Source organism: Homo sapiens, chromosome 1, assembly GCF_000001405.40.
Source record: "Homo sapiens chromosome 1, GRCh38.p14 Primary Assembly".
Classification (NCBI taxonomy): Eukaryota; Metazoa; Chordata; class Mammalia; order Primates; family Hominidae; genus Homo; species Homo sapiens.
In genome coordinates this window covers 33,226,694-33,247,910 of record NC_000001.11, presented here as the reverse complement: position 1 = coordinate 33,247,910, position 21,217 = coordinate 33,226,694, and the positions used below count along the sequence as shown (strand labels likewise).

Below are 21,217 nucleotides of genomic sequence, written 5' to 3'. Positions count from 1 at the left end.
AAAAGACAACCAGTGCTCAATGACTGTTCACTCCTTTTTCCTACCGAGTCTAAGGAGCTCATGGGTGTGGAAGGGCTCTATCATCCATAAATTGTCTTCAGAAAGCGAGGCCGATGACAGTAACTACTTACAGCCTTTCCCCCATCTGGGCTGACAATCCTCCCGTGCTGGATCCTCGCAGCACATCTGGACCCAGCTCCCTTTCAAGACTGGCCCGGGGACTGCCAGAGGAAAAGGGCAGAAGTGCCATAATGAAAGGGCTGACAATTACCTTCCCTCTTAATTACCATTTGCAGTAATTAAATAATAATAGCCTTTTGTTGGCCCTGAGAATTCAAAGCAGCCCACATCATAACATCTGGTTCGGCCTTTTGCCAGGAATTGAATGCCCATAGGGACATGATGGGGAAATTGAGGCAGAGGGGGATAAGGCTAGCCATTCTTAAGTCACACAGAAATCAGAACGCCAGCGTTAGGGCAAGGTCCTTAAAGAAACGACTCCAAGTGGAAGATAGCCGCAGCCCTGCATTTTGGGTGCTGGCTCAAACCATTCACACGCTGTGTGGTTTGGGTGGTTCACTCCCCTCTTTGTGCCTCAGTTACTCTATATGTAAAATAAAATGAAGTCAATACTTGACCTGCCCTGAGCATATTTTTCTAGACTTGACTTTGTTCATACATAGTAATGGGAAATTCTTTTTGCAAACTTTGGGTTGCTAGAAATAGAAATCCACCATAGACCAGCAAATAAACAGAAAAAAATGGGTTACCAGTCTACTAATTCTAGAAAGGGTTGAACAGCCGGAGGTCCTGAGACCTCTGCTTTTTGTGTGTGAAAAAAGCAGAGGGCTCAGGAACAATTAAACCAGAGACCAGGACATCGCAAGGCCTCCTTCCTCTCTGCACCTCTTGAACATCAGCTTTATTCTTTCTCCACCTTTCTTCAGAAGGTAAGGAACATAGAGCACCAACAGCTACTCCAACCTTCAGTTCAGACTGTCAGCCACCTACAGGCATCTACCCTCACTGGTCTGGCTTGAGCCAGGCAGCCACCCTTGAACCAATAACTGCATCCAGTAAGGCAGGGTCTATAATGGCCTATAGCAACTTCAGGGATGGAGTAAGAGAAGGGGCCAGTCACAGAGTTAGTAGGAGCCACTAGGCAGGCAACATAATAGTCATCCACTAAAACAAAATTCCTGCACGTGGCCTGCAAAACACTGAAGGGAAAGTTGCTGTAAAATCAAAGCAATGGCATAAATCACCAGGAACAGAGAAATAGCAGAGGCTTCCCTTGGAGGGGAAGGGGAGAGCTGTACCATCTCAGGTGGGCTTGACTTCAGACCTCAGCCCTCTGAACTGGGGACCCAGTCCTATGTGAGCATCCACTCTGATCACTACACCCACCTGGAAAAAAGCAATTCCCAGGCTTTTCCATGGCCTGAGTGAACATCGATTGGTGCTGCCTGCCAGGCCCCTTCTTTGGGAGTGTTCCTGGTGGGGACCAGCGGGTCACATAACCCAAGCCAGGCCAATCAGAATCCTTCTCCTGGTCTTTCCTCGAGAGACACCCAAGGCCACGGCCCCACCCAAGAGAACAGACATCCCATGACAAGAGGGCAGCATTCCCCTGCCTGGTCCCAGCCACCCTGGAGTTGGGCCTAACTGCAAGCCCTTCCCTTGGTTTGGCTATATTGAGTCAATCAAATCCCCCTTTGAGTAGGTGTATTCACTTCCTGGGACTGTTATAATAAACTACCACAAACTCAGTGGCTTAAGACAACAGGAATTTATTCTCTGGAGGCCAAAGTCCAAATAGAAGACATCAGCAGGACGATGCTCCCTCCTCCTAAGGCTCCTAAGGCTCTAATCCTGTCTTGTCCCTTCCAGTTACTGGTGGGTGCATAACTCTGATCTTTGCCTTTGTCTTCCCACAGCTGTCTCTCTCCCCCTCCCTCTCTCTCTCTGTTTGAGATAGGGTCTTGTTCTGTCACCCAGTCTGGAGTGCAGTGGTGCAATCATGGCTCACTGCAGCCTTGATCTCTTGGGCTCAAGTGAGTCTCCTACCTCAGCCTCCTGAATAGCTAGGACTACAGGCACATGCCACCATACCCAGCTAATTTTTAAAAATTTTTTGTAGAGACAAGGTCTTGCTATGTTGCCTAGGGTGGTCTCAAACTCCTGGCCTCAAGCGATCTTCCCGTTTGGGCCTCCCAAAACACTGAGATTACAGGCATGAGCTACTGCATCTGGCTTCCTTCCATCTCTTATAGGGACACTTGCTGTTGGATTTTTGTTCACAGTTGTATGCCTACCCAGGTAGTAATCCAGAATGATCTTCAGATCTCATCTCACGATCCTTAATTATACATGCAAAATCCTTTTACCAAATAAGGTCACATTTACAAGTTCTGGGAGGTAGGACATGGGCATATCTCTCTTTTTTTGGTGGGGGGTGGGCACCATTTAACCCACTATAGCAAGCCTATGTCATTTGTAAACCAAAAAAAAAAATCCCTCGTATATGCCTCAGGATTAGGCATGGATCAGTCCTCCTCATTGTGTTCTGGTCCTGAACTCTGAAGCAACATTTTAATAACTAACTCCAATCCTTTCTGAGAATATGATCCATCTCTGAGCCCCAGGTTTTGTTTTCCACCTGTAAAAATGGGGCAAATACCATCTAAATGGTGGTTGAGTGGATTAAATGAAGGGTCATCGGTCAGACCCAGCCTCACACTTTAAACATCAGAGCTTTTTCCCAGCCTTGATGGTGGACCTGAGCACTCAGGCCCCTGCGAAGGAGAAGCCCTGCTTACAAATGAGCCACCTGACACCTGGTTCATTCATCAAATTCCCAGGAGTCCTGGCAGCCTGAGTTCACCCAGACTAGACCCTGTGCACCTGACAAAAACAAATTTCTGCTTCTGCAGAGCTGAGGGCTGGAGCCTCTGGCTAAGTCTGTCAGCCTTGTAGAATGACAGGAATCCCAAGGCTGATAAAATGAGGTTGGCAGTCCCATGAAGAAAATCCCAGCGATTAAACCCAAAAAACCCAACACAATATTAATAGCTGTTCCTTACTGTGTACCTCCTCCAAGCCAGGCCCACACTCAGGCCCTTGCCCCCACTCCCTTTTAATCCTCACCACAATCCTATGAGGCAGCTCTCATGATCTCCATTTTACGAAGTTGTTGAGGCTCAGAGAGATGAAGCCAGTGATCTAAGGCCACACAGCAGAGTAAATTGTGGAGCCTGAGGCAACTCTGTAACTGTCACCTCAGCCATAAGTGCCTTCCCAGTCTCTCCTCCCCACAAAGGGTGGCATCAGAGCAATTAGCACCATGGTGAGATAGGATTCTGAAATATGAACTGAAGGACTTTCGCTCACAAAATGTCCTTGTCCCCTTGGTCATTCCTCCATGGACTTTGTCTTGTTCACAGTAGTATGCCCAGTGATTAAAAGAGTGCCTAGCACATACTCTGTACTCAATAAACATTTGTTGAATGAATGAATTCAGTTAGTGAGGGCATTCCGGTGGTTAGTGCCTCAGGGAAGAGATGACGTGATAACACAGACAACAAAGGGATCCTGGTCTGGCCTTTAAAGTGTCAAAACCCTAGGCCCAGACAGAAGACTAAAGAGTTGGGAAAGCATGTGATATATAAGGAAACAGTTCATCCCTGATACTAGAACACACATCTCCTGGCCCTGCCCCTCTGGGAATGACGGGAAGGGGAAGGAGAATCAGAGAGGAAGCAAAAACCAAAAACAAAGCTCTCTGCTTTGTAAAAGCACTTGAAAAACAGAAAGTACTGTAGACATCATAGTGATTACACAGGGGAACCTCAATCCTGCTTCCCCCATCCCATCCCTCCACTGACAATTCTTTCATCAGTCTCCAAATCCATGGACACTTTTCCTTTTTTCTGTAAATTACACATATTTTTTTCCATTCTAAAAATGATGCATGCTTATGATAGAAAATACATAAAAGTCGGCCAGGCACAGTAGCTCACGCCTGTAATCCCAGCACTTTGCAAAGGAGGCCGAGGCGGGCGGATCACGAGGTCAGGAGATCGAGACCATCTGGCTAACACGGTGAAACCCTGTCTCTACTAAAAATACAAAAAAAAAAAAAAAAAAATTGGCCAGTTGTAGTGGTGGGCGCCTGTAGTCCCAGCTATTCGGGAGGCTGAGGCAGGAGAATAGCATGAACCTGGGAGGCGGAGCTTGCAGTGAGCTGAGATCGCACCACTGCACGCCAGCCTGGGCGACAGAGCGAGACTCCGTCTAAAAAAAAAAAAGAAAAGAAAATACATAAAAGTCGAAGGAAAACAGGAAGAATCTCCTTCAGGTCCATCACTTATAATAACTAAGATTTTGATGTATTCCCTCCAAACACTTTTAAAAGTTGTGATTTGGGGCCAGGTATGGTGGCTCACACTTGTAATTCCAGCACTTTGGGAGGCCAAGGCAGGCGGATCACCTGAGGTCAGGATTTCAAGACCAGCCTGGCCAACATGGTGAAACCCCCATCTCCGCTAAAAAAAAAAAAATACAAAAATTAGCCGGGTGGTGCGGCGGGTGCACCTGTGGTCCCAGGCACACCTGTGGTCCCGGCTACTCTGGAGGCTGAGGCAGGAGAATCACTTGAACCCAGGAGGCGGAGGGTTTCAGTGAGCCAAGATAGCGCCACTGCACTCCACCCTGGGCAACAGAGCAAGACTCCATCTCAAAATAACATAACAACATAACATAACATAACATAACATAACATAACATAACATAACATAACATAATAACAGTTGTGGTGATTTGGTAATATAAAAGCATATATAATTATTTTGAATATCTCTCATTATAATACATTGTCATTGCGAAAAAAATAGAACAGAAAGAAAAAAAGAAAGAAAACATAAATATTAAACAGAATCCCCCAATCTCAGACACAATCCAGGTTCCTCCCTCCACCTCCTACTGTTTTCTGGGACTTGTGGTTTTGGTATGAATGTTTTTTGAAGGACATATATGGGGAAGGGAGGAGAGGAAGCAGCACTTTGGCTTGTCCAAAACAGGATTTATGACTTAGAAACACAACAACTGCCCATTTTTCTGGTTGCAGCATATCTTCAGTTTCTGAACCAGGAGCAGAGAGTGAGGGGAAAATGAGATATTTACACCTTGCACTTTCTTATCAAGTACAACAGGGGGTTTAATTCCACTTCTCAACCCACCTCCATCGCTTCCTAATCCGTGGGAAGTCTTGATTCTGGCCATGGGTTGATTTTCAATGCTGGTTTTCCGTGTCTTTCTTAGAGAGTTTTTGTCTTTTTCTGGGTCTTCACAGGTATGTTAGTGGGTGTATCACTAACTGCTTGCTAGGATCCACTTTATGTATTATTGACAAATTATAATTTCGTATATTTATGGGGTATAAAGTGATGCTATGTGCAGAGAGTGTGGAATGAGAGAACCCACTTTAAAAGTTCATCCTTATCCTATGTGACTTCTCATGGCATTTCTCCCCAGCAACCACTTCCTCCTGCTCAAAATGCTCACCTCCCTTGATTTCTGTGACACCACGGTCACTGTACTGTCCCTTTACCTTCTGATCTGTCCTTTTCTGTTCATTTTGCTGGTTCCTCTTCCTCGGCCATCTTTCCCTAGGGTTCATTCTTGCTCTCTCTTCCATCCCCTCCATGACTTACACAAGGTTAATTCTCCCTCCCTGATCCACCCCTGCAGCCTCAGGACCACATACTCAGTGGCTTGCTGCACACCTCCCCCTGCTCATCCCTCAGGAATCTGAGATTCCACGTGTCCACAGCCTCCTCATCGCCTTTCCCGGAATTTGTTCTTCTTGCTGGACTGATGCTGTCTCATCCTCTTCCATTCACCCACAAGGGTTGGCTCAGTGTCATCTTTAGCTGTCTCTCCCCTTTACCCCACATACCACTGAGTCCAGCTTAACTTGCTTGGTTTTGGGGTTGGGGGTTGGGGGTTGGTACATTTTCATTGTGAAATAATTTCAGGGCCAGGCATGGTGGCTCACACCTGTAATCCAGGTACTTTGGGAGGTCAAGGCAGGAGGATGGCTCCAGGCCAGGAGTTCGAGACCAGCCTTGGCAACACAGTGAGATGTTCTAATATTTCCCTTTTATTTCTTCTGGCAGCATAAGACCGGCATCTTCTGTTGTTTCTCTCAACTCTCTTCTTTGAGATTTGATCGTTTTTTCTGTGTAAATACTCATTCCTTTATGATTTGTTATTGCATAGTTAGTGGACTTTTCCATGATTTCTATACACCAGTCTTCAAGGAGAAATATTTATTTATTTGTTTATTTACTTATTTATTTTAGTGTAAACATAACTTTGTAAAAAATTTTATTCGTACATCTTTTTTTTTTTTTTTGAGATGGAGTTTAGCTCTTTGGCCCAGGCTGGAGTTAAATGGCATGATCTCGGCTCACTGCAACCTCCTCCCCCACAGGTAGAAGAGATTCTCCTGCCTCAGCCTCCCCAGTAGCTAGGATTACAGGCACCCGCCCCCACACCTGGCTAATTTTTGTATTTTTAGTAGAGATGGGGTTTTGCCATGTTGGCCAGGCTGGTTTCAAACTCCTGATCTCAGGTGATCCACTCACCTCAGCCTCCCAAAGTGCTAGGATTACAGGCGTGAGCCACCATGCCCAATCCATACATAATTTTTTAAAGCTTGATATTTTACTCTCCAGTGATCAGGACTGATTTTTTTGTGTCAGATTCACCTTACCTAAAACTTCACACTTGAAAAGGACAACTCAGAGTGGGGCGGGGCGGGGGAATTGTCATATACAGCAGAAAGCAAAATCTCAACAGATTCCCCCTTTGGATTACCCAGCACTTCAAAGGTTGGGGTTCACTTTTCAAGCACCGTCTCTACTGCATGCACAGCTTCGTGTGGTGCAATCATTTTGCGTGGGAAAGTCTTTCCACTGTCACACCCTTATTCTGCAGCGTCTGCCACCAGCAAAGTGAGATTGAAAAGCATGGGCACATTTTTTCCAAAGTTCTGTAAAGTGTCACGCATGGGGGAAAACGCCAGGTAATCACATAGAATGTCAGAATTGTACTCAGGATCAGTTTCTTTGCCATCACTCTGCTATCACTGCTTGTTTTGAGCCTACTATTTAAACACAGGGATATGGGATATGACGGGTTGGAGGTGCAGACTGCACCAAAGTTAGCTTGAACAAGAAGAACCAAAATGAATGTACTCTGTAAACAAACAAATACATTTTGCAGAGTCTACATATACCAGGGCAAAATGTCTACCTGGGAATTCTCCAGATAAACTTCCACTTTGAACCTAACATTTACGAAAAGATAAGTAGTAAGAATTTGCTCATGTGAATTGTACATATGTATGTGTCTATGTATGTGTGTTTATGTATATATGTATATGTATACTGAATATATAATTATATCTAAAAGCAATGGGAGCAATTGCTCAGATGTTTTAAGGGAAGACTGTTTTATCACTGAATTGTTGGCACATGGTGATAATAAAAAGCACCTCAATTTTAGTCTGTTTTACTACTTTTAAATTCTTAAAAAGCGCGACTCGCTGCCTGCACCCAGACCAGATGATTCCCGCCCTTGGTATGTCACTAATTCAGTGCCTCATATCAGGAAGCAGGTGATTGTCAGTTTGTTCCAATATAGGCTGTGTTAACTTTGATCACTTGATGAAGTCCCCTGTAAAGTTACATGTTTCCCTTTGTCACTAATAAGTAACATGAGGAGATACTCTAAGACCACACTAATGTCCTGTTCCTCATCAGGCTTTCACCCGGGAGTTCTACCACCCTCTGATGATTTTCCAACTCTCATTTCTATATTTAGTAGTTGGCATTCTACTGTAAGAAAAAGCATTCCCTTCTCCCTACTTTATTTCCTTATTCATGTCAGTATGGATACATAGATTCATATTTTTTCAATGGGTGATAGTCTGTTACTATCATTATTTATTTTGGTTTTCAAATTATCCCTGATTTGGCCAGTGGGAGCGTTTTCAGGTTGGTTCCTATGTCCTTCTGACATGTTCCCATCTGATATGATTTTGTTCTGTGTCTCCACCCAAATCTCACCTTGAATTGTAATCCCTGTAATCTCCACGTGTCAAGGGCAGGACAAGGTGGAGGTAATTGGATCATGGGGGCGGTTCCCCCATGCTGTTCTCGTGATAGTAAGTGAGTCTCATGAGATCTGATGGTTTTATGAATCTAGCATTTCCCCTGCTTGCACTTACTCTGTCCTGCGCCCCCGTGAAGCAGGCGCCTGCTTCTCCTTTGCCTTCCGCCATGATTGTAAGTTTCCTGAAGCCTCCCCAGCCATGCAGAACTGTGAGTCAATTAAACTTCTGTCTTTTATAAATTAGTCAGTCTCGGGTATTTCTTCATAGCAGTGTGAGAACGGACTAATACACTATCATTCTTTTGAGCACTTCCCTACTTTCTGATGTGTACCACTATGTATTATTAAAAACCCATGTGAGTATATGTACCAGTAAGTATATGAGTACCAGGAAATGATCTAGGGGACCCCAGAGGGAACATTTGGGGCCCCTATTAGGGCCCACGTTTGGGGTCTTGCCAACAACATTGGAACAGGAGACAGCAAATCTGAGATCTACCTTTAGCATTGTCTGCAACTCCCCACCAGAGTGAGTGTGCTGCCACTGTCTGTCCAGTATAAATACTCTGGCATATAATAATCTATTATTAGTGGTATTTGATAATAGTGCCACAGACACAAATTGGGGGATGGAGTAGGTGTTATCTGGCTCACAGCGGTACTCCCAGAACTAATTCACTGTGTTGGTAGTCTCCATGCCCTCAACCAGCACCTTCTGGGAAACCACTCCTGCTGGGGCTGCCATAACAAAATGCCGTAAGCTGGATGGATTAAACAACAGAAATTCATTTTCTCACAGTTCTGGAGGCTGGAAGTCCAGGATCGAGGCACCTGCATGGTCCGGTTCTGGTGAGGCCTCTCTCCTCAGCTTGCAGAGGGGGCTTTTCATCGTGTCTCCACATGGCCTTTTCTCTGTGTGCATACGTCGAGAGGGAGAGATAGAACGCTCAGGGGGGTGTCTCTTCCTCCTCTCATAAGGACCCCAGTCCTATCGGATTAGGACCCCACCCTTATGACCTCATTTAACCTTAATTACCTCCTTTAAAGGCCCTGTCTCCAAATCCAGTCACATTGGGGGTTAGGGCTTTAACATATGAAGTCTGGGGAGACACAATTCAGTCCATAACAACTCCCTTCGCTCTGGCTACATGACCCTTCCTTTCTAGCTGCATTGATTGGCTGAGGTGCAAGCACCTGACCTAGGCTTGGCCAATCACAGCACCTCACTTTCCTCAGCTATTGTGATTGGTTCAGCCACGGTCACATGACTCAAATGGGCTTTCCAAGGGATTTTATTTTTTAGTTTGAAGCAGAGATCTCTTTTTTTATTTTATTTTATTTTATTTTATTTATTTTATTTTATTTTATTATTTTATTTTATTTTATTTTATTTTATTTTATTTTATGTTATTTTGAGACGGAGCCTCACACTGTCACCCGGGCTGGCGTGCAGTGGTGCGATCTCAGCTCACTGCAACCTCTGCCTCCCAGGTTCAAGTGATTCTCCTGCCTCAGCCTCCTGAGTAGCTGGGATTACAGGTGCCTGCCACCACGCCTGGCTAATTTTTTTGTATTTTCAGTAGAGACAGGGTTTCACTATGTTGGCCAGGCTGGTCTTGAACGCCTGACCTCTGATCCACCTGCCTTGGCCTCCCAAAGGTGCTGGGATTACAGGCGTGAGCCACTGCACCCAGTCACAATTTTTTTTAAATAAAAGGCTAGATAGTAAATATTTTCAGCTTTGGGAGAGAAGGAGTATATGGTCTCTGTCACAACTATCAATCCTGTGTTAAACTCTGCCCTTGCAGGTAAAAGCTCTATGAAGTGATTCATAGATTTCATAGATGCTCATTTTTATTAGCATGTGGTTCCAGCGTCTTTAACACAGCCTTCGAGGTTTCCCTGTCCTCAGCAGCTGACGGAGTAAAGAAAGAGAAACCTCTACTCACATACCATTGGCCAGAACTAGTCACATGGCTCCACCTGGCTACAAGAGGCCTGGGAAATGCAGTTTACTTGTGGGCCCAGGAAGAAGAAATGGGTCTGATGTACATCCAGCCATCCTCTGCCAACGACTCCACCACAGATCATCATGAGGACTGAGGGGAAGAATACTATAAAGACTTAGGACAGCGTCTGGTCCACATAAGCACGCAATAAATGTTAGCTACGATTATTACTGAAGCTTCAGGGGGAAAGAGAAAGCACTCTTTTCCTTTCTGGTAGTAGAGCCATATCGATGTCATCTTGGAGCAGCCTGCAGCCATGGCTGCAACTGTGAGGAGAAGGTCAGCGTAGGGAAGAGATGCTGACACACAGAAAGAGACCAGTGAGATAGTCCTGACTGCACAGAAGTGTCTGTTGCAATCAAGCCTGTCCTTCTGCAGCCTTGGTCAGTCTGCTCTTAACAACAACAACAGTAACAGTACCTGACATCTATTAAACTGTGCTATGTGCCAGATGCTTCATTAAGCTCTTAACAGATAATATTTTTCTAATTCAAACCACAACCCATGGCAGGGGGAGGAGTCATTAAATCATTTTAAGGAGTTGATACCAGCATTTAATAAAAATTTTTAAATTTTATTTTTAATTGAAAAAATAATTGTATATATTTATGAGGTACGATGTGATGTGTGGTTTTGTTCTGTGGAGTTTTTTTTGAGACAGAATCTCGCTCTGTGCCCAGGCTGGAGTGCAATGGTGTGATCTCAGCTCACTACAACCTCCGCCTCCCAGGTTCAAATGATTCTCCTGCCTCAGCCTCCCGAGTAGCTGGGATTACAGGCATGTACCACCACGCCCAGCTAATTTTTGTATTTTTAGTAGAGACAGGGTTTCATCATGTTGACCAGGCTGGTCTCGAGCTCCTAATCTCAAGGGGTCTACCCACCTCAGTGCTGGGATTACAGGTGTGAGCCACTGTGCTTGGCCACAATGTGATATTTTGATATATGTTTACATAGTAGAATGATTAAATAAAGCTAATTAACAAATCGGTCACCTCATGTACTTATCATATTTTTGTGGTGAAAACATTGAGTGTCAGCATTTTTAAGAATAAACAAAATAGACTACACTAGACTAGACTAAACTACAACATAAATTATCAGAGTATATTACATATAGTAGTAAGGGCAAATATTGTGTGTGTGTATGTATATATATATATATATATATATTTTTTTTTTTTTTTTTTTTAAGAGGCAGAGTCTTGTTCTGTCACCCAGGCTGGAGGCTACAGTATCTTGAACTCCCGGGTTCAAGCAAGTCTCCTGCCTCAGCCTCTTGAGTAGCTAGCTAGCTAGGACTGTAGGTGCACACCACCACACCTGGCTAATTTTTTTTCATTTTTTGTAGAGATGGGATCTCACTATGTTGTCCTGGCTGGTCTCAAACTCCTGGCCTCAACCGATCTTCCCAAAGCCTCCCAAAGTACTGGGATTGCAGGCATTAGCCACTGCAACCGGCCTGTTTTATGAGCATTTGTCTTCGATTTATGTGTGTGCTGGGTGATGATATAAAGTATGTTTCTCAAGGTGGGCTGCAGTCACTGTGCTAATTCATTGCGCTAATCCAGCCTTCACCTAGTGAAGGAGGTATTACTATGAGCCCGTCCTATAAATAGGGAAGGTGAAGCCCTGAGAAGTGACCTCACTTGCTGTGGGCTGCACAGTTAGAAGGGGCAACAGTCAGCACTTGCACCCCCAACAGTCTGGCTCCTGAATCTCCCTCTAAGGTCTACCCTAACACCCTTCCAATAAATCAGTAACTTCTCTTTCAGCTTAAGCATCTTTAAGTTGGATTTCTGTGCTGTGCAAACCCAAGAGTCCTGACCAACAGAAGGAGGGAGGAACAGCATTGACAAGACTGACAAAGGTCCGCTGCTTGACCAAACTCTAGTCAGGCTTCTAAACCTTCTCCTAGGTCCACCCCTATGCCCACCCTGGCCTGTCTTCAGCAAGAATCCTGTTAGGTCAGTTTAGCCAGAATTTCCCTTATCTCTGATGTTTCCTCTTAGTAATTTTCCATGCACTGACCCTCACCCTGCTTCCGGGCTATAAATTCCCACTTGCCTGTTCTGTATTCAGCATTGAGCCCAATCTCACTCCTCCACTACAAAATCCTATTGCAGTGGTCCCTACACCTATAGTGACAGTCCTGAGTAAAGTCTGCCTTACTGTGCTTTAGCAAGTATCCCTGAAGAATGTTTTCTTTAACAAGGCACAGATGTGGAGAGAGGAGGCCACGTCCTAGGCTAGGCTTAGCCTGGAGTTTGCTGGAGACCTTCAAAATGACACCTCACTTTTCCAAGTATCTGTTTCCTTCTCCTGGCAAATGAAGATGGCAATAGTGTCTCCCTTACAGGCATCGTGAGGAAGAGAGATAACCTAGGAAAACTAATCATGTGTCTGGCCAGGAGTGCCTGGGGGGCGGGGTGGGACAGGGACAGCACATGCAAAGGTGTGGGGAAAGCCTTGAGCAAGGAGAAATCAGCACAGGAAAGCGGTATTGCAGGGCCTCAGAGGCTGGATGACGAGGAACATGGTCCATTACCAAGCAGAGTCCTGGGAGGTTCCAGAAGAGTAAAGTGAGGAGTTCCCAAGTGTCCTAAGGTACAGACAGACATTTCCTACGAATTAAACTTGAGGAACACACAACACGGTGCCTCCATCACAGGTGACTAACAGAGGAGAGTCAAGCATCTTAAATCTATGACCCGGGACTGCAGGGGGAGTGAGGAAGCCCAATGATCGACCTCAGCTGAGGCCTCAGCCATTCCCAGGGCTGAACAGCAGGCTCCATGCAGAGCAGGAAGCCAGGAGCTGCTCAGAGGGCAGGCAGCTGTGAGGCCTCCTCTGGGAAACCACTCTTTGATCTCCCTGGCAGCAGAGGGGTCCCACTTCCTGCATCATAGAATGCCTGCTCTGGAAGGGACCTCAGAGTACGTGGACCCGACCCCATTGGACAGATGGGAGCAATGCTGCCCTGAAAGGTGCAGGCTTTGGTCAAGGCTGCACAGGGAGCCAGTGGACAAGTCAGGACCAGCATCCCAGCTGCCGTGCTGGTCCTAGACCTCCCTGTTCCTCCTGCTTCCTCTCGCTCAACGGGAAGGCAGCAGGGAGGGCCTGCTCCTTCCGATCTCTCTGATGCGGAGGGTCCATTTCCTGCCAAAGCTGAATGAGTTCAAAGGCCCCTGGATGGTCGGGGGATCTGGTCAGTACAAGATGGGGTGGGGGGTCTTTAAATCACAAAGATTACTTTCTCCTTTGAGATTTTTTTAAGTGGAAAGAAGCCAATTTCCTAGCATTTGTTCTTCTGATGTAGCCCTTGGCAAAAATGATGACACGGCGTGGGTGGGGAGGGAAGGAAACTTAAGGTATTTGAGCTCCTACTGTATGCTGGGCTCTGTGCCATGCGAATATAACAATCTTTCATGGCAGGTGTTAGTTTACTCATTTCAAAGTTGAGGAAATGGAGATAGAGGGAGGTGAAGTAACTTGTGTAGGGTCACACAGCTAGGATTGGAGCCCAAGTTTCTCTGACTGAGGAGCAGTATTTGACTTTAGGCCACATCAGTACCCTAGGGGTTGTATTCTGGGTAATCCAAGTTCCACTGCCCCATTCATTCTTTCAACAAACACTTGGTGAATGTCTGGCAGACAGCAAGTGCTTCAAGTACAGGAATAATCATAAAAATAGATGAGATTTATTGAGTACTTCCTATGTGTCAGGCCCCATTCATCCTAAGTGTTTACATGCAGAAACTCATTTAATTCCTGCAACAGTCATGTAAGGTGGAAACTATTAAATATCCCCATCTTAAGAGTGAAAGTGAGGCACACAGAGTTGAGAGGAGGCATCCCAGTTCCATATTTAGGAAGTGATGGAGCTGGAAGTCAAACTCTTGTGTGCCAGAGTTCACTCTCTGGACCACGGCACTGCACTACCCTGCCAGGCTCCAGAGGCACAAAGTCTCAGGGGAAGACAGACATGACTCCAGGTAACTATAAGAAAGTGTAAAAAGGGGCCAGGCTCGGTGGCTCATGCCTGTAATTCCAACACTTTGGGAGGCCGAGGCAGGCTGATCATTTCAGGTCAGGAGTTCAAGACCAGCCTGGCCAACATGGTGAAACCCCGTCTCTACGAAAAATACAAAAATTAGCTGGGCGTGGTGGCATGGACCTGTAATCCTAGCTACTCAGGAGGCTGAGGCAGGAAGATTGCTTGAGCCTGGGAGGCGGAGGTTTCAGTGAGCCGAGATTGCACCACTACACTCCAGCCTGGGCGACAGAGCGAGACTCTGTTTCAAAAAAAAAAAAAAAGTGTGAGAAGGGATGGGTGAGGGAAAAGCAGGGCATTGCAGGCATGCAGAGAAAAGGCAGGCTAAAGCCAGAATGGGTGGCCAGGAAAGGCCTCTGAGAGCATGTGACAATGCAATCAATGCCTAAAGAATGAACTGTAGTTGGTCAGGCAGAAAGTAAATAGACTATCTTAGGCAGAAGGAGCAATCAGGGGAACTAAAGGATTTTGGTCTGCCCAGGGCTTAGAGTGAGAATGGGAGTACAGAATGGGGACATCTGAAGCTGAGGAGGATGGAAAGGAGCAGAGAGCCTGAAGAGTACTGAATGCCACATTAAGAAGTTTGATTTTTATCCTATGGGCAACTGAGTCTCAGTGCGTGACCCTGGACAAGCCACATAACCTCACTGCATTTCAGTTTTCTTCTTAGTAAATTGGGACTAAGAGAAACTATTTTGCATACCTGTAGTTATTCAGTGGAAGAAATGAGATGATGCATTTGTAGTAAGAACCTTACAAATGTTAGTTTCCAGCCTCCACCTCTGCACCACTGAAATGAAGAACACAGAGAGGCAGTTGAAGAAGCAGACAAGTGTCACAGGAGTGGTGCCGTGTGCCCATCAGGAGGCTTCAAGCAAGGAACAGAAACCCCAACTAAATACGGCTTAAGCCATAAGGAGGTCATTTTCTCACATAATAACAAGAGTATAAGTTCTGGGGTTTGGAAATTCGGTGGCTTAATGATGTCTTCAAGCGGTGTCAGCTTCCTTCCCATATTGTCAATGCCTTGCCTCATGCTAACTAGATGAATGCAGCAGTGCCAGCCACCATCCGCAGACATGACAATGTCCAGTGAAAAATGCATTTCTGGCCGGGCGCGGTGGCTCACGCCTGTAATCCCAGCACTTTGGGAGGCTGAGGCAGGCAGATTACTTGTCAGGAGTTTGAGACCAGCCTTGCCCACATGGTGAAGCCCCGTCTCTGCTAAAAAATACAAAAAAAAATTAGCCTGGCATGGTGGCGTGAGCCTGTAGTTACTTGGGTGGCTGAGGCAGGAGAATCGCTTGAACCCAGGAGGTGGAGGTTGCAGTGAGCTGAGATCACACCACTGCACTCCAGCCTGGGCAACAGAGTGAGACCCTGTCTCAGAAAAAAAAAATACATTTCCACTTACGCATCTTTAAAGGAAGAAAATCTTTTCTGTAGACCTCTTCATCAGACTTCCCCTTAGGTCCCATTGACCAGTATTGGCTTGCATGCCTTTTGCCAAACCAATATCTGGCAAGGGGAATATAATCATGATTGGCTTAGACCAATCGTGACTCATGCCCCAATACTGAGGAGTGCCCTGTCCTCTGAGTGCTTGGCCTCAAGGGAAAAGGACCCAAGCAAAACAGGCCTTTCCAGCCAGGAAGAAGGAGGGATGGATTTACATAGGTCATCAACATCATCTGTGACTCCAAGAACCAAGTCCAGGCTCTGGCCAATAACAGTAATTTCAGTTCCCACCTACTGATGGGCTTAGGCTCCAGCAACCTTCTATAGCCCTTGATGTCAGGACAGGATGAGAAAACATCCTGAGCCTTAGAAGCTGCCTTAGTAGGGCTGAGGGAGCTGGGGTGTGTCCCTTGTACCCCCTTGGTCCAGCTCAGTGCCTCCAGAGGAATCCATCATTCGCTCATTCAGTCCACAAATATTAATTGGACATTTATTTTGTAGTGGGGACACAATGATAATCAAAACCCAGCATGGACCCTGCCCTTACTGACCTCACTCTCTAGTTGGGGAGACAACAAAATAACTACACAGGCATGTGTAAAATGACAACTGCGTCAGTTGTGGACTGACAGGTAAGTGGTGCTATGGGAGGAAATATCAGGGGACTTGACCCCAGCAGGGAGATCGGGGACTGTGGATTCCACAGGTATCTTTTGGAGCCCAGGGTCAGTCACTTACTGGCTGTGCAACTTTGCAATGATAATTTGTTTGACGTCTCCGTGCCTTGGTCTTCATTGGGAAATAGCTAAAGCACGAGAAAATGTCTCTTAGGATTAGTAGAAAAAACAAATGAGATGATGTGGCCATCATGCAATAACTGCAGTTCTAAGAAACCTCATGCAATCAACAAACCAGTAGAATAGCACAATGGTTGTGGCTCTGGCTCAAGCTAGACTATACGTGTGTGAGGCCCAGCTCCGCTTCCTTCTAACTGTTTGACACTGAGCAATCGTCTCATCTCTCTATGCCTTGGTTTCCCTATCTGTAAAATGGAGCCAATAACAAAGAGCATTGCGTGAAAATTAAATAGATCATTATGCAAATCTCTTAGCACAAAGCCATCACACAGTAAGTTCAATAAGCGTTAGTGAAGTTTATTATTATTGTTGTGGTGGTTCTTTTGAAATTAATCATAAAAACGAATGTGAAAATGTGGTTGGGTTAGAGATTTTCAGTCTAGCAACTGCAAAGTCATTCTTCTTGTTGATACCTTAATAATAACAGTGTTTGCCCTAGCAATATGTGTATGGTTATGAAAGTTTTATATCCCTGAGCATCTCTGAGCTTCGATTACATCTATATTTTCTTTCAGAGTGCTGGCCTTCCTATTTCTAGCACCACCAGCACCATCAGTAACACACCTTGAGAAGCAGCCATTGTTTGGATAAACAAAGCAAAACCCAGGCAGCAACCTCACGGCAGCCCAGCCGCAGCTTCCAGGCTGCTTCCAGCTTGCGCTGCTGTATAACCAATCACAAGCCGCAGGATGCAAATCGTGTTCCCTAATTGATCCATCAAGGTATGCACAGATCAGGTTATGAAAACTGGCACTGTGGGAGGAATGTCTGCACGTGCGAACACTTAGCACTGGGCCCGACACATGTGAAGTATTCGGTGAACATCAGCTATTGTTATTAGTATTATGTATCCTACAGATGGTGGGAGCATCAGACTCTTACAAGCTGGAGAGAGCCATGACTGGTTTTGCTTTTCCTTTCCTTGGTAAAACGACTGTAGCCTCTTTAGGTTATCATGTTATTACTACACCTGCTTCATAGGGTGGGTATGAGGATTCCATGAGTTGGTGCGCGGATGTATTTGGAATGGTTCCTGTACAGCATAAGCACTCAGTAACAACAATAATATCTAATACTCATTGAGAACTTTTCAGGTTTACTTTCCAGATTTAATCCTCACCACCCACCAATGAGGTGGGTATTAACACCATTCCCAGTTTACAAGTGAGGAAACTGAGACATTGGAATGTTAAATAACATGCTTAAGTTACACAGTAAACATAAACATCAGCTGCTATGGTTATAGGTTTTTTTCAAAATAGGGCATTAATCTGAAGAGTCAGTAGAAGCACAGCTATATGTTAAAAAACAAACAAAAAAATCCAGCTTTTGCATAGAAGAATGCTTCAAAATGTAAATAGTGCTTATCTCTAAATGGTATGCATGTGGGTAGGGATCCCACCTTTTTTCATCTATCTGTGTCTTCAAAGTTTTCCATTAGCAACATGTATTACTTTTATATTGGTTAAAAATAATAATTTTTAAATGTATGTGGCAAAAGCCTAGATGGACAGAGAGCAGAGGGAGGGACGCGGGTTACTAGACAATTGTAATCGCTAAAGGGGAAGAAGGTGGAGTTTGAACCAGCTGTTGACTGGGGGCTAAGGGGAGGACAGTGTGGATGCAGGTGATTTTAAGAAGGCAGAATAGGGCCGGGAGTGGTGGTTCACGCCTGTAATCCCAGTGCTTTGAGAGGCCAAGACAGGCAGATCACCAGGTCAGGAGTTCGAGACCAGTCTGGCCAACATGGTGAAACTCCATCTACACTAAAAATACAAAAAGCTAGCCGGTGTGGTGGTGGGCACCTGTAATCCCAGCTACTCAGGAGGCTGAGGCAGGAGGATCACTTGAACCCGGGAGGTGGAGGTTACAGTGAGCTGAGATCATGCCACTACACTCCAGCCTGGGCAACAGAGCAAGACTCCGTCTCACAAAAAAAAAAAAAAAAAGGCAGAATAGAAATGACTTTTTGACTGATTGGACATAAGTGAAGGAGCTGCCTGGGATCCACTCATTCATTCCACAGATGGCTAATAAGCTCTTTCTAGAATTCTAGGCACTGTTCCAGGAGCCAGGGTTGCATAAGACAGATAAATCCCAGAGCTCATGGAGCTTCCATTTAAAACTGAGAAAAGATGTCAGTGCGTGTGGGGTCAGATGTTAAGGGTTGTGGAGAAAAGGAAAGAGAGGGGCTAGAGAGTCCTGGGTGGGGTGGAGAGTAGTCAGGGAACCCCACCCCCACCCCCAACCTTCCTGACCCTTAGAAACATTTGAACAGAGGCGGAAGGAAATGTGAGAACAAGCCCTACAGATACCTCGAGGAAAACCACCCCTTGCAGAGGAAACGGCAATCACAAAGGCTTTGCAGCAAGAGCATCTTCAGGGAAGAGCAAGGAAGGCTGGGGTGGCTGCAGAGAGGGAGGGACCGAACAAGCAGTAGGAGATGAAGTTTGTTAGCCATTGCCAGGACTTAGACTCTTATTCTGAGGCATGTGGGAAGTGGCGGAGGTTTCCAGTAGAGGAATGATAGGCTTGACCTTCATTTTAAAATGATCACTGAGGCTGCTGTGTGGGAAATAGACAAGGCAAAGTTGGAAGCAGGGAGGTCTGTTAGGAGGTCTTTGCAATAATCTTGGAGAGATGGTGATGGCTTCCAGAGTGGCAGAGTCACACTGAGGAGTGATTGGATTCTGAATCTTTGAATAGAGCTGACGGCATTTCCTGACTTCTTGGATTGTGGTGCAGAAGAGGAGTCAAGGGTGAGTCCCAAATTTGTGGCCCATGCAACTGGAAGAATGCAGTAAACATTTCCTAAGAAGGGAAAGACTGCCTGAGAACCAGATTTGTGGAAGGCAAACCAGAGTTTGGTGTTGGATATGTTGAGTTTGAGATACCTTTTAGATGTCTGTGTGGAGAGGTCAGCTAGACAAGTGGATGGACTGGAAAGAAGTTCAGAGGAAAAGTCAGGACTGGGGACAAAAATTTAGGAGGCCTCAAAGTATAGATGATATTGAAAGCCTGAGTACCAGATAGGAAGGTCTAGGAGTGAGCATAGCAAGGGAAGGATGACTCCTGGGTTTCAGGCTTGGGCAACTGGAAGGATAATTTTCCTTCTTCAGAGATGGAGGGCACAGGAGCAGGAGCAGGTGTGGAGGGGAAGATGATGTGCCTACTTGTGGACACACAGATTTGGGGTCCTGGAGGACATTACAGAGGGGAAGGGAGTAACCTGGCTCTAGTCGGATGTAGAGGTCATGAGCTCAGAAGAGAGGGCTGGGCAAAAGCCAGAGCCAGGGGGCAACTGAGGTCCCAACAAATTTATGTAAAAGAAATGCAAATCTCCATAAACCTGAGCCCTTTTCACAATTCCGAGTCAGGGCAAACAGGTGTCAATGCAGGTGTTCTAGGGATTAACAGGAATTTGAACTCACAGGTAAATTTCAACCTTTTCTGAGGAAACACGCTCAGTAAATAACTGAGTGGGAAAAAAAAAAGATCCCTTCCCTCTCCATTTCTGAGCACCATCTGGCTTCTCTAGGGCACCTGAATGAGGGACTCTTGAGAGACTGGAAAGGGATCCAATGGGATAGAAACAGGAATGGTAGAGCCAGGAGTAGGTCTGGTGGCCTCTACAATCTGTTGCTGCATAGCAAATACCCCCAGCTTGGCAGAACAAAGCAACATTTTTATTAGGCTCATGGATTTGGCAGTCAGGAATTTGGACAGAGCACTGTAGGAATGGTTTATCTCTACCTCTTGATGTCTAAGGCGTTAACTGAGAAGGCTCCAGTGGCTGGGGACTGGAGTCATCTGGGGGTTCCTTCACTCACACGTCTGGCTCCTGGCCTTGGATGGCTGAAGGCTGGGCTTAGCTGGGAATGTCTCCTTCATGGCTTATATATGGCTTGGGCTTCTTATAGCATGGCAGTTGCGTTCTGAGCAGGAACATCTAAAGAGTCAGTGTCTAGAGAGAGCCAGGTAGAAGATGCCCAAAGGCCTAGCCTCAGAAGTCACAGAGGGTCACTTCCACCATACTCTATTGGTCAAAGCTGACACAAGCCCACTCAATTCCAGGGGATGGGGCATCGACCCCACTTCTTAATAGGAGGAGCTTCAAAGGATTTGTAGCCAATTTTCTTAGTAACAGTTTTATTGAGATATAATTCACGTACCATACGATTCACTCATTTAAAGTATATAGTTCAATGAATTTTAGTATATTTACAGAATTGTGCAATCCATCACCACAACCAATTTTAGAACATTCTTATCACCCCAAAAAAGAAACCTTGTACCCTATAGTTATCACTGTCCCCAGTATTCTCATCCCTTCCCTCAGCCCCTGGCAACCAGTAATCTACTTTATATCTTCAGGGATTTGCCATTTCTGGACATTTCATATAAATGAAACCATATAGTATGTGGTTTTTGTGATTGGCTTATTTCACTTAGCATAATGGGTGTCTTGTTTTGTTTTGCTTTTTGTTTTTGAGACAGAGTCTCAGTCTATGGCCCAGGCTGGAGTGCAGTGGCACAAACCAGGCTCACTGCAACCTCTGCCTCCCGGGTTCAAGCGATTCTCATGCCACAGCCTCCCAAGTAGCTGGGATCACAGGCATGCGCCACCATGCCCAGCTAATATTTGTATTTTTAGTAGCGAT

The 21,217-nt window shown here is 45.6% G+C and overlaps 1 protein-coding gene across 2 annotated transcripts in view, besides 1 other annotated feature; it reads right to left on the bottom strand.

Moving 5' to 3' along the window:
- The window catches only part of ZNF362 (zinc finger protein 362), a 173,198-nt gene that overhangs the window by 52,809 nt on the left and 99,172 nt on the right, over positions 1 to 21,217 (bottom strand). Inside the window, exons 1-2 of one of the 2 annotated variants that reach the window (XM_047447107.1) lie at positions 9,215 to 9,332; positions 8,976 to 9,090 (exon numbers count right to left, since the gene is read on the bottom strand). In XM_047447107.1, the coding sequence (XP_047303063.1) occupies positions 8,976 to 9,067 (92 nt within the window). In that variant the 5' untranslated portion in view covers positions 9,068 to 9,090; positions 9,215 to 9,332. Of the gene's footprint in view, positions 1 to 8,975; positions 9,091 to 9,214; positions 9,333 to 21,217 lie in introns of those variants that run through there. The other variant, XM_047447108.1, reaches the window with a different exon arrangement.
- Positions 3,170 to 3,754: an enhancer, noted in NCBI's record as "NANOG-H3K27ac-H3K4me1 hESC enhancer chr1:33709758-33710342 (GRCh37/hg19 assembly coordinates)". NCBI's record gives its function as "activates a minimal SCP1, AML or CMV promoter by ChIP-STARR-seq in naive H9 embryonic stem cells {active_cell/tissue: H9 hESC(naive)}" and the evidence as "EXISTENCE:reporter gene assay evidence [ECO:0000049][PMID:30033119]".